Here is a 14,460-nt window from a genome sequence, read left to right as displayed (position 1 = left end):
TATATGTGACCTAAGGCAACTGCTTCTCAATATTAATTTTGCCCATGGTGTGAACATATCTTTTCCTAAGGCATCTATAGAGAATATAAGAAGCAGGCACAGTCCTCATCCTGGAGAAGATAAAAGGCTAATAGTACTATTTAAATGTAAGCATCAACACAACTCTAGAATAAAATAAGTGAGATATCTATACCCGTATCTACATCTATATCTATCTATCCATCCGTCTATCTAACCAGGGACAAATAGCTCCAACATTAAAACAAGCACAACCAATGGGAAACACTAACTAAAGACAGAAGAGTGAAGTGTTGGGGTTTATACTTGAGACTGACTGATTTCTAATTAATACTATGCTTGTATGTGGTTAGTACATGAGAACTACAGTGCTGAGTCATCTAATAATGATTGTCTGGCCTAACTGAAGATTTCTAAAACTTGACCTATTGTTACACTGATTGAATTGAAATTCAAACACACTGATTGAGTTGAAATACACTGACTACGTTCACCAGTGATATATTTTGTTCACAATAAATATGTCAATTCTTCCAAATTCATGCGCATTATTCCAAGAGCTCTTTTTAATGTGTATTACCAAGGACCTTTTGAAAGGAAGTGTATTTTACCTTGAACAGGACATTGAGAGATTACACATACCCAGCTACAGATGAAATATATTTTGAGGTGATCAGCAGGTGCTTGGTCTCATGTGAGATGATGTGCTTAATGGCTACAGAGACCACATGAGCTGTAAAACTTATTTAGGAATCCACTGTTTTTTCCTTTTTTTCTTAGACAATTCAGTTGCTCTGTAAGCATTCACGGAGAGCGCCTCAGGTAATTGCTTCAAATGACCAAAAGTTGTGGTCAGAACTGTTCTTAGAGTCTTTCTGATTCCCTGTACTTACAAACATGCTTAAGGGCACTTAATGAATAACCTTTTACTGATGTACCACCCTTTCATTACCACCTGGGCTTAGAAGCAAAAGCTATAAAGGTGAGAATTATTTTCTTATGGGTTCAGCCCAACCCTTCAATAGCAATGGCACTTTGTAGATGGCATCAATCAGTGGGAGGAAAATTATACCTTAGGTCATTTTAGGCAGAGTAGACCATAAAATGAAACACTATAAAATCTTTGGGTTTATAATAGCACTATGTCATAAATTCTCCCTGTGGAGAGACAGTACTGTTGCCTGCTTTACATTTGTAATGTATAGAGTGGAACAATGTGCTAAGAATATCCTAATTCAGGAATTATTCTTCCTATATTATTAAAAAATCACTTAAATGGTTGGGCACATGAATTTTGCATCTCATGGTGGGAGTCTTATAGAGAAAACACACATACAGTTCAAAAAGATTGAGCCTATTTAAAAATAAAAGCAAATTAATAAATGAACAAAAAATAAGGTTTCTCAATTTAGATAATCTAAATCATCTCTTTGTGAGGAAATAAGAAAACCATTGTGCTGGCTTAACAGTAGATATTCTTTCTCTATTTTCCTTCCATTTTTTTTCCTGCTGTTCCTTACTATGAAAGCTATTTTTTAAATTAACTAATGGAGGGATAGTTCTGTAACTGCTATGATTGGTCCATGGTTTGTCTTCACTGAAACTAATGTGGCAGGTTGGTCCTCAATGAGGCACTGTGGAGAGGCGGAGCCTAGTAGGGGGTGTTTGGGTTATGGGGGTGGGTCTCTCATGAATAGATTACTGCTGTCTCTCAAGAATGAGCACACGGGTTCTACCTCTCACAGATACGGTTCATTTCCTGTGAGAGTGGGTTTGTAGCCCTCATGTGTGCCTCTTTGTACATGCTCACTCACCTTTATGCTTTGTCATGTTGTGAAACAGCATGTGGCCCTTACCAGAGGTCAATGAGGTGCCAGCACCATGATTCTTGAACCTCTCAGTCTCCAGAATTATGAGCCATATAAACTTATTTTCTTTATAAATTACCCAGTATCAGAAGTTTTGTTACAGAAATACAAAATGGATTAAGATAGTTACCCAAGATAAATTACAAAGGGATTGTAAGACCTAACTATCAGGTAGTCATTTTAGGTAAAATATTTCAGAAGCCATCATCAAAGAGTTTGTGTGTGTGTTATTATTTTTAACTTTTATTTTAAATTCAGAATTACAAGTATAGGTTTGTTACATAGGTAAACTTCTGTCATAAGGGTTTGTTGTACAGATTATTTCATCACCCAGGTATTAAGCCTAGTGCCCATTAGTTATTTTTTTCTGATCCTCTCCCTCCACCCTCCACCCTCTGAAAGGCTCCAGTGTGTGTTGTTCCATTGTATGTGTCCATTCGTTCTCATCATTTAGTTCCCACTTATAAGTGAGAATATGTAGTATTTGATTGTGGATAAAGAAAATGTGGTATATATATACCATGGAATACTATGCAGTCATAAAAAAGAATGAGATCCTGTCCTTTGTGGGGACATGGAAGGAGCTGGAGGCCATTATCCTTAGCTAACAACCACAGGAACAGAAAAGTAATTATATTTTAAATGGACTAATGTTGGTCCTATCTAGTATGGGGAATTCTTAGTTTCCTGTTGTAAGTAATGTCTCTGACTCCTAGGTCGTTTTCTCTGAGCAATGACCTCTTCAAAGTCATGCCCCTCTGACTGATACGGCCATGGTTCTTTAACCTTGATAACCCAGAAAAGAAAACTTGGGTCATTTTTTTCTTTGTTCTTTCTTCAAATATCTTTCTTAGATAGGAGTCTATCCATCAAAATACCTCTTTTCTACCAGTGGTATTTAAATCCAGGGAAGTTTAGACAGAGTACGTGAAAGTCCCAACACCTAAGTGATTTATTTGTTCCTTCCTATAGTTGCACATACAATTCATAGTGCCTTGCCACATGTGGCTACTGAGTACATCAAAAAGTAACTTGCCAAATTTGAGATGTTCTATAAGTATACAGAAAATGTACAACATCTAATTAATAATTTATTATACTGATTACATATTAAAATGATAATTTTGACATATTGGATTAAATAAAATATATTATTACAAGTAATTTCATCTGTTTCCTTTTACTTTTAAAAATGTGGCTACTAGAATGTATAAATGGGAAGCATAATGCTGGCATATGCTGGGATTCTGGTGAAGACACAGGAAGCTTTCAATCATGGTGGAAGGTGAAGGTGGAACAGGCACATCACTTGTCAAAAGCAGAAGCAAGTGAGAAAGAGTTGGGGGAAGGGATGTGCCACACACTTTTAAATGACTAGATCTTGTGTGAACTCAGAGTGAGAGCTCACTTATCACCAAGGGGATGGCTACATGGTTCATAAGGGATCTGTCCCCATGATCCAAACACATATCAGGCCCCACATCCAGCATTGGATATTGGAATTCAACATGATATTTGGGCAGATACAAATATCCAAATTACTTAAGGGATACTCTTTATAAAGAGGAAACAAGACTGTTAATAAAAAATAGATTCAGGATCTTCTAGAGGACCTGTGCAAGAGAGGGAAGTGGATATTACACTTCATTTGATTCACTATTAATTTGTGTCTGGAAATAGCATTCACCTCTGAAATTCTGATTGTTTTTTTCTGGATTCGTAGGCATCTTTTTCCCAAGAAAGTCATCTGCAAAAATTTTCTCCTGATCCTCCACTTAACAGAGGCCTATGTTTTAATAATTATAGCAAATTGCCTTAAACTTCCACTGCCCATTTTCCCTATTTTCAGTTCCTTTTACTCTGCTGTCCAATCAAATACATTCTGTTCATCAAGTTTTTAATCACAAACTTTGGCTTTCAGACACCTACAACTATCTTGAATTGGAATTAATCAACAGGATTTTTGATAGTAAAGCAACTATCTCATTTATTTTCATCACAATTTTGATCACAATTTATAACAAATATATTAAAAGAACTATCTTAGTAATTATGTGACACTGAAAATATAAGAATATTCATTTTCAACAATTTTGAGAAAGATGTTTAGAGAAAAGCTTAGCCTCCACTTTCTAACTAAAAGTGCTAGACAGAATATAATATACATAAATGTAGTATTGTATGTGGGTGATGTGTGTTTGTAAGTGGATATATAGGTCAACTTAGGCGGCCATAAAAAACTAACATACTGTGTAGCTTAAACAATTGAATTTTATTTTCTCACCATTCTGGAAACTGTGAAGTTCAGAATTAAGATGTCAACAAAGTAGGTTTTTATTCTTAAGCCTCTTCTTTTGGCTTATAGATTGCCACCATCTCTCTGTATACTTACATGACCTCTTCTTTGTGGCTATATGGAAAGAGAAAGAGCTCTCTGGTGTCTCTCCTTATGAGGGCATTAATCCCACTATGAGGGTTCTATCTTCATGATTTCATTTTGTTAGAATAGGCAGATAGCCAGAAATGAGCAAATAGAAATCCTGGAGACTCTGACCACTGATAGTAAGTGCTGCCCACTGTCAGTCAGCAAAAAAGATGAATGGCTACACAGGCTACTTCTGGCCTTCTAACTGGGCTCCCGCTGGCCCTGAAGGGTAGCTATCAGGCACTAGCCAAGATAACTATGATAGGGACTTCCCCTGCAGATGAGCATGTGAACTCATCCTTGAAAAGGATAACTTTCATGGGCTGCTGTTGAGAGCATACACTGGTACAATGACTTCATACGCTGCTGTTGGACATGTACACTGGTACAACCACTTAGGAAAATAATTTCGGATAACTTGCTAAATTTCAATACATTATATATACCTTATAAGAAACACTTGAAAATTTGCACCAGAAGCTATTTTAAAATATTCAGGAAGCATTGTTAAGAGCAATATATGCATTAATCTTCAAATCCATTAAATATATTATTGCACTATATATATACATATATATATACATATGTATGTGTATATATGTATATATACTATTATATATTATGCAACAGTGAGAGTGTGAATAAGCAATAGATACAATGTTGAGATAAAATTACAGGAAAACACATACTTTTGGTCTAATTTATATAAAGCTCAAACCTAAAAAAAATTGAGCAAGATGTTTTTCAAACTTATACAAATTGTGGTAATCTATAAAATAGTTGGCTGCACATAAGAATCACCTGCGAGGCTTTTAAAAGCGCAGTACCTTGTACTCACCTGTGGCCAATTAAATCACAATATCAACAGATGGTATTCTGGGGTCTGTGTATTGTCTTGTAATTCTCATCTGGGTGATTTTAATATGCAGCCATATTTGGGAATCACCCTTAAAAAACAAACCAAGGCATCAGTAAAGAGGATGCTGTCTTGCTTAGGAAACTGTCTAGGTAATTCCACATAATTGGGTGGGACATGAAAAGCGTGAATATGTCAAAGAAGATTTGAGCATGTCAAGACATAAGAAAAGTAGTTTCTTAAGGAAGTGGTAAAAAGGCTCAGTCTCATACCTTCATCAGTATGACAGAAGTGATACAGCATGCATGGAAGCAGGAGCCAGGTGAAAGAACCTAAGAGATAAACCTCTGGCAATTCCTGTTCACTCGAGAGAGAGACTGAATTCTATAGAATGTGGAACTGCGATTCAGAATTAATTCATTAACATCAAGGGCCAGGCTGATATATACATTGTGTGTAATATTTTGCAAGTCTGGAAATTGACAAATACCCCTTAAAATAACACCAATTAATACTCCTCTAACTCTGACAAACTGCAGAGGTAAATTAAAGTTTATGAGAAATATTTTCAAACTCAGGAATCTAAGCCACAGAGTAAGGGAAACAGGAAGTTGGAGTCAATGTTAATATTTGCATACATATCCATTTTCCTGTATTAGATTTATTTCACTGATGTCCCTGGAAACGCCTATTAATCTTGCAAGACTGCTCGGTAATTACCACATAAAAAGCTTCTTTCTATTTTCCCATAGAGTTTAGTTTCTTTCTTCAGTTTGTCCTCAAAACATATTGTGTAATCATTTGTTTACATGTTTTCCTCTTCTACTAAACTGTTAGTAGCTCAAAGACAAAAAATACATAATTTTTATATTTGTATACCTGGTACGTATGTGGTTCTTCAAATAAGGTTGAATGAATTCATTAAATTCCATCAGTTCAAACATGTGAACTCAGTCTACAAGAAGCAAATATATTCAAACTCTTCAGAATTATAGCTAGCTCTCAACTACATTTGTTTGAATGCTTAAAATAGGAGAGAAATATTCAGAAAAATCTTTGCCATGATTTATTTATTTGTTTTTAGTTACCTTTTTGGTTATTTCCTGTCTCTCTTACAGACCTCTCTTCATAATTGGGAAAATAATGCGCTTTCCTCTTTCTTTAAGAAAATTATAATTGTCATCCATATTGTAAATGTAAGGTGCTTTTGCCATTTTCAAGGTATGATCATGTTGCACACATCTCTAGGTATCCAAATGGATCACCAGATCCAATTGGTGAAGTGGACTTGCCCCTAGTACATGCAGAATCCTGGAAAAATATTTCTTGCAGGGTTTCTATGTATATCAACACTTTGATTAAATATGTATTAAAAACATGTGGGCCTATTTGAGGCTTAGTGACTTACTGGTGAAGACTTAAAATAATGGTAGAGGAGAAGTATAGGTATTTGTTTATTCAGTCAGTTCATGTGATAATTCTTTGTAGTGTCCAGGTACAATTTCTCTATGTTGAGGTCCAGGAGCCACTTTTTCATGTCCTCTTCTTTCAAATATGTCATAACTAGTTAACTTCACATCTCCCATTTTGAAAAAGGTAGCAACACTATTATTACTCACAATGTCAGGCTCTCCACAACCTGTTTGTATTGAAACAATATAGATCTTCTTGCTACCACAGTTCCCTAATACCATTTATTTAGTGCTGGTTACATCATTACTCATGACTGCACCATCCATCATGCTGCCCAAAGAACTGGCTTCCAATGACTCTCTCAAAACATGTTACTGTACTGTTTTGACGATGACCAAAAATACAAGTCTGACCTAGAGTATTCAGGAAATTATCTGGTTAATTTGAGTACATAAAATTTGATAGCATAAAAATAGAATAATCCATCTTCCAACTATATCTTTCCTTGAATTTTTGAGGCTGTGATCACCATATTCTTAATATGTGAGATATTTTTATATATACTACCACCAGCTGGAAGGGGGTATAGGTAAGGCCTGTCTTAGTCAGTTTGGGTTTGCTAAAACAACTTTTCATAGACTGGGTAGTTTAAAATAAAAACATTTATTTCTCATAGTTCTCGAGGCTGGAAGTCTAATATCAGGGTGCCAGTATGGTTGTGTAATTGGTGAGTGCCCTTTTGCTGGTTTAGAGGGCTGTGTTCTTGATGTGTCCTCATGTGGCAAAAAGCAAAGAGAGCCTGATCTCTGACCTGTTTTTATAAGGCACTAATTAAAAGGGCATTCATCAGGCCTCCATGCCCATGGCCTATTTATTTCCCAAAGACTCCGCATCCAAATTCTATGACATTGAGGATTTGATTTCAACGTACGGCTTTTTTGGGAGACAAACACTCCGTCTATCACAGGATCTGTGGGTGGAGTGAGATTAGTGGTCCCATTCACACAAGAAACAGACTTCCCCTTTCTGTCATGGCTTAAGACTGACCCAGGAGAGCACAATGTCACCACATCACTTACAGGCAAGCAAAGACATTGCTTAAAAAGGTTCATTGGCATTATAGAACAATGAAGAAATAGAAGTGACAACCTGTGGAAGATTTGATCAAGATTTATTTTACCCTGTGATTTCTCTGCTGACGGATAGGTGCCAGTATTTGGTGAGTGGTCGGGGGAACACAGGAGTGATTATCACCTCAAATTGATATGCCACCACCAACGTGCCAGCCTGATTTCATATGGTCCCATTAGAGAAATGCCTAAGTAACTAAAGGGAATAATTCACGTGCCAGCCTGCCCTTCTAGAACCAGGACGCAAGGACCTGGACAGAGAACCCTGGAATGCTCTCATATTTGCAAATCCTGGGGCCCCTCAGGTCTTCTAGATGACCTCAGTTTTGATGGGGGTGGGGACGGAGAAACCCCATAATATAGAAACAGAGAGCAAGGCCATTGCAAGTCCCAGTGTGGGCTTGGGGTGCCCCAGCAAAGTAGTACAACCAGCCTAGATTTTCAGAGACACTGAAGCAGGATGTAGAAAGTTTTGAAGGTGACACTTCAGAGGGTAAGGACCACCTGAAGAGAGGGGTCTGTGTTTGTTGCCGATCTCAGAGCAGTATTGGCCGCAATTTTTACATCAGCTCCAATTTCCTCCTCATTACAACTTGTACCCCAATAGTCTCATCTTTCCACAATCCCTTGTCCTGTTGCAAATCATTTAAACTTCTCCTCTGCTCCCCCACCCTCCTTGCATACACACACATTCACTCATACCTTTCTTGTTCTCTCACATACTATTTCTAGAGATTCAGCCTCCTATTTCTGGCTTTCTACTGTTCATCCGTCCAAATTAAAAGAGAGGAAAAAGAAGCACACAAATTTCATATCTGCCTATACATGATTTGTTGGTCACTCAGAGAGGCAAACGACCAAGACAAAGAGAAAAAAGGCAATCGAACTGATTCTTATTCATACTAATTATAGGAAAAGAGAAAAAAATAAAGGATTTTTGACAGGCTTCTTTCTTCTTTTTGTTTATGTATGTGCGTGTTTGTTGGGAAGAGATAAGGCATGAAAGAAAAATAATATACAGGAAAAGAATTATAGAGTGTGAATAGTTAAAACCCCAGAGAAGTAATTTGTTAGAATTCATATATTTCTCTTATAAAACAGGAAACAAAAACTATTCCTTTAAAAATGTCTTTAGATTTAAAATTCCAAATATTTAAGTGAAAATACATATAATTTAATTGCATCCAAAAAACCATGATAGATAGGAAAATATAAATTATTAAATATTATCAGTAAATAAGTAGAAACATAATACGGACTCCTAAAATAAAGTTAAGCAGCAAAGGAACAAGGCAGCTGATAGTCAAGAGACAGCCAGAGTAAAGAAGCCTACTTTAACTTAATACATAAGAATTCCAATTTACAATTAGATTTAAAGATAGGAAACTCTCAGAGATTGCAGGGAACAGTCTTGATTTGATTCAGTTTTCTGCAATGAGATAGCTGACTAATGGCCACTGTAATCTGAATTAATTAACATCAATTTGTTTTTAATAAAAAGCTTCTGAAGCCCATTTTGATAATGAATACTGTCTAGAGAAAAATCAAACAGAGCTATCTGATACATGTGGAGCCACAGCTGTACATATTTGACCCCTATTTTGCACAGTTGCACCTCATTGATTTCTTCTGTTAAACTCCTGGACTGAACACTGAACAATGGTGGGAGGACTCATATATCTTCTAGAGAGACCGGGTCTATGAACTGTAACCCTGCAGTGGGGCCCAGAATATTTCTGCACCGCCAACATTGGCTGCCTGTCCCAATGACAGATAACCCAGATATTGTTCTTAAGAACAAATAACCTCAAACCTATGACCATGGAATCAGTCTTTTCGGACACAAACAGAAATAAAAGGCTTGAGACAAATCTGACATGTAATTGAGCTTCGAGTTAGTTGGCTTCAAATTTAAATCCACTCAAAGTGTGCTTATAACACAAGGAATTCCTGTATTGAAAGATAATTCAAAATAGAACAGGAAACTATTAGAGACACTGTCATGTATCTTTTCATGACTATGGAGTAAAATAGGCTACATGCATAAAGAAGAAGCTTATTTGTCAGTGTCTCCATTGAGATTTTCCCTAGACAGCAGAAAAAGTCATACATCTATTTATGTTAACTCACACTCAAAACGATTATAGTAATGATACAATTGAGCAATTTAAGTCAATTCTATCGCACTGCTTTTATAAAGAAGTTAGTGTTTCAATAACTGTGGGAAAACATCTTGCATACGTTTATCCAACTAGGATAGTAATAAAAAGACATAAGTTTCTTTATAGTTCTAGTTTTTTGTCCATTGCTTTCAATAAAGAGTGTAGTGGTGAAAATAAAATAAACCAAAAGAGTCAGAAGCCAAAGGCACTGACTTGGAAATTTAGAAATTAAAAGTATGAATTAGTGTGTTCATCATTAGGTGAATGATGTGTCCTTAGCTACTACGGAGTGCCTACCAAAAACTACAACTTGAGCTGGTAGCAGTGCCTCATGCCTATAAGCCCAGTACTTTGGGAGGCTGAGGTGGGAGAATCCTTTGCAGCCAGGAGTTTGAGATCAACCTAAGAAGTATACTGAGATGTCATCACTACAAAAAATAATTTAAAAAAAGATAGCTGGTCATGGTGGTGCATGCTCGTAGCACCGGTTACTTAGGAAGCTAGGGCAAGAGGATCACTTCAGACAAGGAATTCAAGGTGGCAGTGATCGCCCCTGCACCCTTTCCTGGGCAACAGAGCTACACCCTACCTCTAAACCAAAACCAAAACCAAACCCAAACCAAACAACACAAAACTCCTACGACTTGGTTTAGCAAAAAGCCATCTTAATACTTTATCGTCAATGCAAAAAATCAACCTCAGTTGTCTAGGAGACAGGTAGTCAGAGTTCCCCAGCTCTGCTCTCATTTTCTCACTGTTATGATGATTACATTATGAAGGTTGACACTGTCTATGATTCCTTTTATTTCTGCAATTTCTGATCTTTCATTTCAGAAAATTCCTGTTTATTATAATACAGTTTCTGCTAGCATAAGGAATTTTTAAATGTGTGTTTGTTTTTTTTTTTTAAGACGGAGTCTCACTCTGTTGCCAGGCTGGAGTGCAGTGGTGCATCTCGGCTCACTGCAATCTCTGCCTCCTGGGTTCAAGCGATTCCCCTGCCTCAGCCTCCCGAGTAGCTGGGACTACAGGTGTGCACCATCATGCCTGGCTAATTTTTTTGTGTTTTAGTAGAGACAGGGTTTTCAACATGTTGGCCAGGATGATCTCGATCTCCTGTATTTTTGTATTAGATCTTTTTTTTTTTTGAGATGGAGTCTCGCTGTGTCACCCAGGCTGGAGTGCAGTGGTGCAATCTCGGCTCACTGCAAGCTCCGCCTCCTGGGTTCACGCCATTCTCCTGCCTCAGCCTCCCGAGTGGCTGGGACTACAGGTGCCCGCCACCACACGTGGCTAATTTTTTGTATTTTTAGTAGAGATGGGGTTTCACCTTGTTAGCCAGGATGGTCTCCATCTCCTGACCTTGTGATCCCCCTGCCTCGGCCTCCCAAAGTGCTGGGATTACAGGCGTGAACCACCATGCCCGGCCTAACATTCATCTTTGAAGCTTAGTATAGTGCAAACATTTTGGAATGGTCTTAATCCTGGTTGCTGTCACTTCTATGAAGTTGAAATATCTTTTCAAAATTTTGGTCTCATCTCAAAATATTGGTGTATCTTTAGCAAATAAAAAGTGTTGGCATGCAATTGAAGTGTTATAATATTAAATTACTATTAACTACATTTTCAGAGGTAATTTTTTTCTATTAAAAACAAAGAAATACAGTTGACCCTTGAATAGCACAGGTTGAAATTGTGCAGACCTACTTATACGGGGATTTTTTTTTTTTTTAATAAACATGATACCAAGAGTGCCTGCCTCTTCTGCCTCCCCTTCCACCTCCTCCACCCATTGTGCTTGTGTGATCCCTGAGAGAACAAGCCCAACCTCCTCCTCCTCCTCCTCCTCAGCCTACTTAATGTGAAGAGGGCAAGGATTAACACCTTTGTGATGATACAACTCAACTTAGTTAATTGTGAATGTATTTTCCTTATAATTTTCTTAATAAAATTAATAAAATGAAGTATGAAAAAAGTACATAATACATACAACATACAAAATATTTGTTAACTGATTGTTTAAATTATCAGTATGTCTTCCAATCAACAGTAAGCTACTAGTAAAGATTTTGGGTAGTCAAAATTATACACAGATTTTCAACTGCATGGGGGTGGAGCTGAGGTGGCACTCTTAAGCCCTGCATTGTTCAGTGGAAAACTATGTGTCATATAAAACATTTCACAAAAAAATTGGGCTTTGTACGACCTACATTCTTGTCCCACTTCCCTCCTTGACTGTGTGAACTTGCGAAAATTAATGTGTCACAAAATCCTCAACAATCAAATGAAGAAAGCATTATTTATACTGTGGTGTTCAAAGGATCAAGTAAATATTTAAAAAATTCAAAATGTATTAAAAAGTATCCAACATAAGCAGAGAAATAAGCACTCATAGTTGATGAAAATATAATTTTTTTTAATTTATGAAGAGGATAAATTGGCAAAACATACCAAAAATGTAAAAAATATAGAATTCTACAAATAATTCCATCTCTAGGAATTTACTCTTAGGAAGAAAGTAAACATATATGTGTACTACTTATAATAAAATAATAAATATTAGTTAGAAAAATTTTCAAAAGCCCAATAATAAGGAATTGGCTAATTATAAATATTTGTCCACATATATATGACGAAATGCCATGTAGTCATTAGCAAACATGTGTTCAGAAAACATCATTAAAAAGATTAAGATAGGAAACATTAAACATTTATGGCACCACTTATATAAAATATCACTATCACTGACTGACCACTTCATATATCTCTAGTGATGTGTTAGCTCTTCACATTTATGAATTCATTTAACCCTTATGGCTCTATGAGGCAAAGATTTTATCCTTGTATTACAGATGAGAAAATCGTGGCATAAAAAGGTGATCGAATATTATCATATTTGTATAATGTATCACAAGGCTGAAATTTCAACTTTAATAGATCTGAGTCCAGAGTTCAAGACTAATCTCTGCTTTATTGTTGGTAATCTGACCCTGAGGTAAATATAGCACACAACACAGAGGTTATTTTGTTTATTGGGCCCTTATGGTATTTGCACACATTTTGGTTTTTATTTTAAATGGAATTTGTTGCCAGCATATTTAGGCATGAAAATTTAATTCCCTGTTTCTATTAAAAATTGAAAGATCTATGAACACTTGACCATTATTATGTGGCAACAGTGTCATAGGTATTAGCAGCAGCTTTTCTCTTTAAGTGGCACTTTAACTTCACAATTTGCCATAATTAGTCTTAGACATTCTTTGAGGTTCCATGCTTGGAATGTTTAGGCATTTGAGCTTGAGATCTCTCTCTTTCTCTCTCTATGATATTGATTTAAAAAGCAGAAAAATATACATACCAAAATAGGTGATAAAACCACGGAAGAATTTATGTTTTTTTAGCTCTTTTGCGTATGTGTGCACGTCTTCCAAGTTTTTTATAGTGAACATAAACTACTAAATAGAAGAAAGAATATATTACTTAAAGTATAAAGTTTCCAAAAATGGAAGAATGCATTTTATATGAAAGCGGCTTTGGGTACAATTTCGATTTCAGTTTCTTCCATAGTACAACCGTTCAACTTCCTGAATTAATCTTTCTAAATTACAGCTTTCAAAAAACCCCTTCTCTATAAAAATATTTCAGTCATGTCTAAGTTACCTTTGCAAACTTCTCTCTTAGGTCTTGTATAATACAACGATATATTGAACATAAATAGTGCTTTTTTCTATTTATTTATTTTGAGACAGAGTCTCGCTCTGTCACCCAGGCTGGAGTGCAGTGGCGCGATCTCAGCTCACTGCAACCTCCGCCTCCTGGGTTCAGGCAATTCTCGTGCCTCAGCCTCCCGAGTAGCTGGGATACAGGCACATGCTACCATGCCCGGCTAATTTTTGTATTTTTAGTAGAGATGGGTTTTCGCCATGTTGGCCAGGCTGATCTCAAAGTCCTGACCTCAAGTGATCTGCCCACCTCGGCCTCCCAAAGTGCTGGGATTACAGGCGTGAGCCAGGTGCCTGGCTGTTAATGCTTTCTTGTTTCTATCTCTTGTAACTTGATCCTGAGAGTTCCCCTGAGCTTATCTCAGAGTATGTTTTACACTTTATGTTAAATTATGCAGATATTGCTGATTACGATCCATGATTAAGATAAATATTCACTTTCTTCACTATTTTAATCTACCTATAGACATATATCTGGCTTCCTACTATGAACACTCATTTAATGGTTTAACAACCATTTAATACAATGTCTATGTGATATTTTACTTAATATATGAAATTTTCCATGTATATATAATTTACTGATTGAATGAATTTGTTAATGCTTCAAGAACAGAGCCTGTGACTTAGTTGCCCTTTACTGTACATCTCGGTTACAGAAAACAAGGGAGGAGTTCTCTTCTGCCTGTCTGTGGGTGCACTATGTGTGATGTCTGTAAAAAGAATTCTAATTAATTTGGCCCAAAGAAAGACAATCGCTTAGATCTAATATTTTTTAAAGGGAAGATAAAAGTTGTGGTACCTTTCAGTTTTCGTGATTTCAATCTTTGAGAAATAAAAAGAGCCCTAAAGACTCTTGGTAAAAT

At 36.5% G+C, this 14,460-nt stretch overlaps 1 long non-coding RNA gene across 1 annotated transcript in view; it reads right to left on the bottom strand.

Annotated features, from left to right (window-relative positions):
• Positions 1-14,460, bottom strand: part of LOC105375148 (uncharacterized) — a 147,709-nt gene that overhangs the window by 87,639 nt on the left and 45,610 nt on the right. The gene's annotated exons all lie outside the window — the stretch shown is intronic.

The sequence above is a fragment of the Homo sapiens genome, chromosome 7 (genome assembly GCF_000001405.40).
Source record: "Homo sapiens chromosome 7, GRCh38.p14 Primary Assembly".
Lineage (NCBI taxonomy): Eukaryota > Metazoa > Chordata > Mammalia > Primates > Hominidae > Homo > Homo sapiens.
The sequence above is the reverse complement of the archived record's forward strand: the minus strand, read 5'-3'. Positions and strand labels throughout refer to the sequence as shown.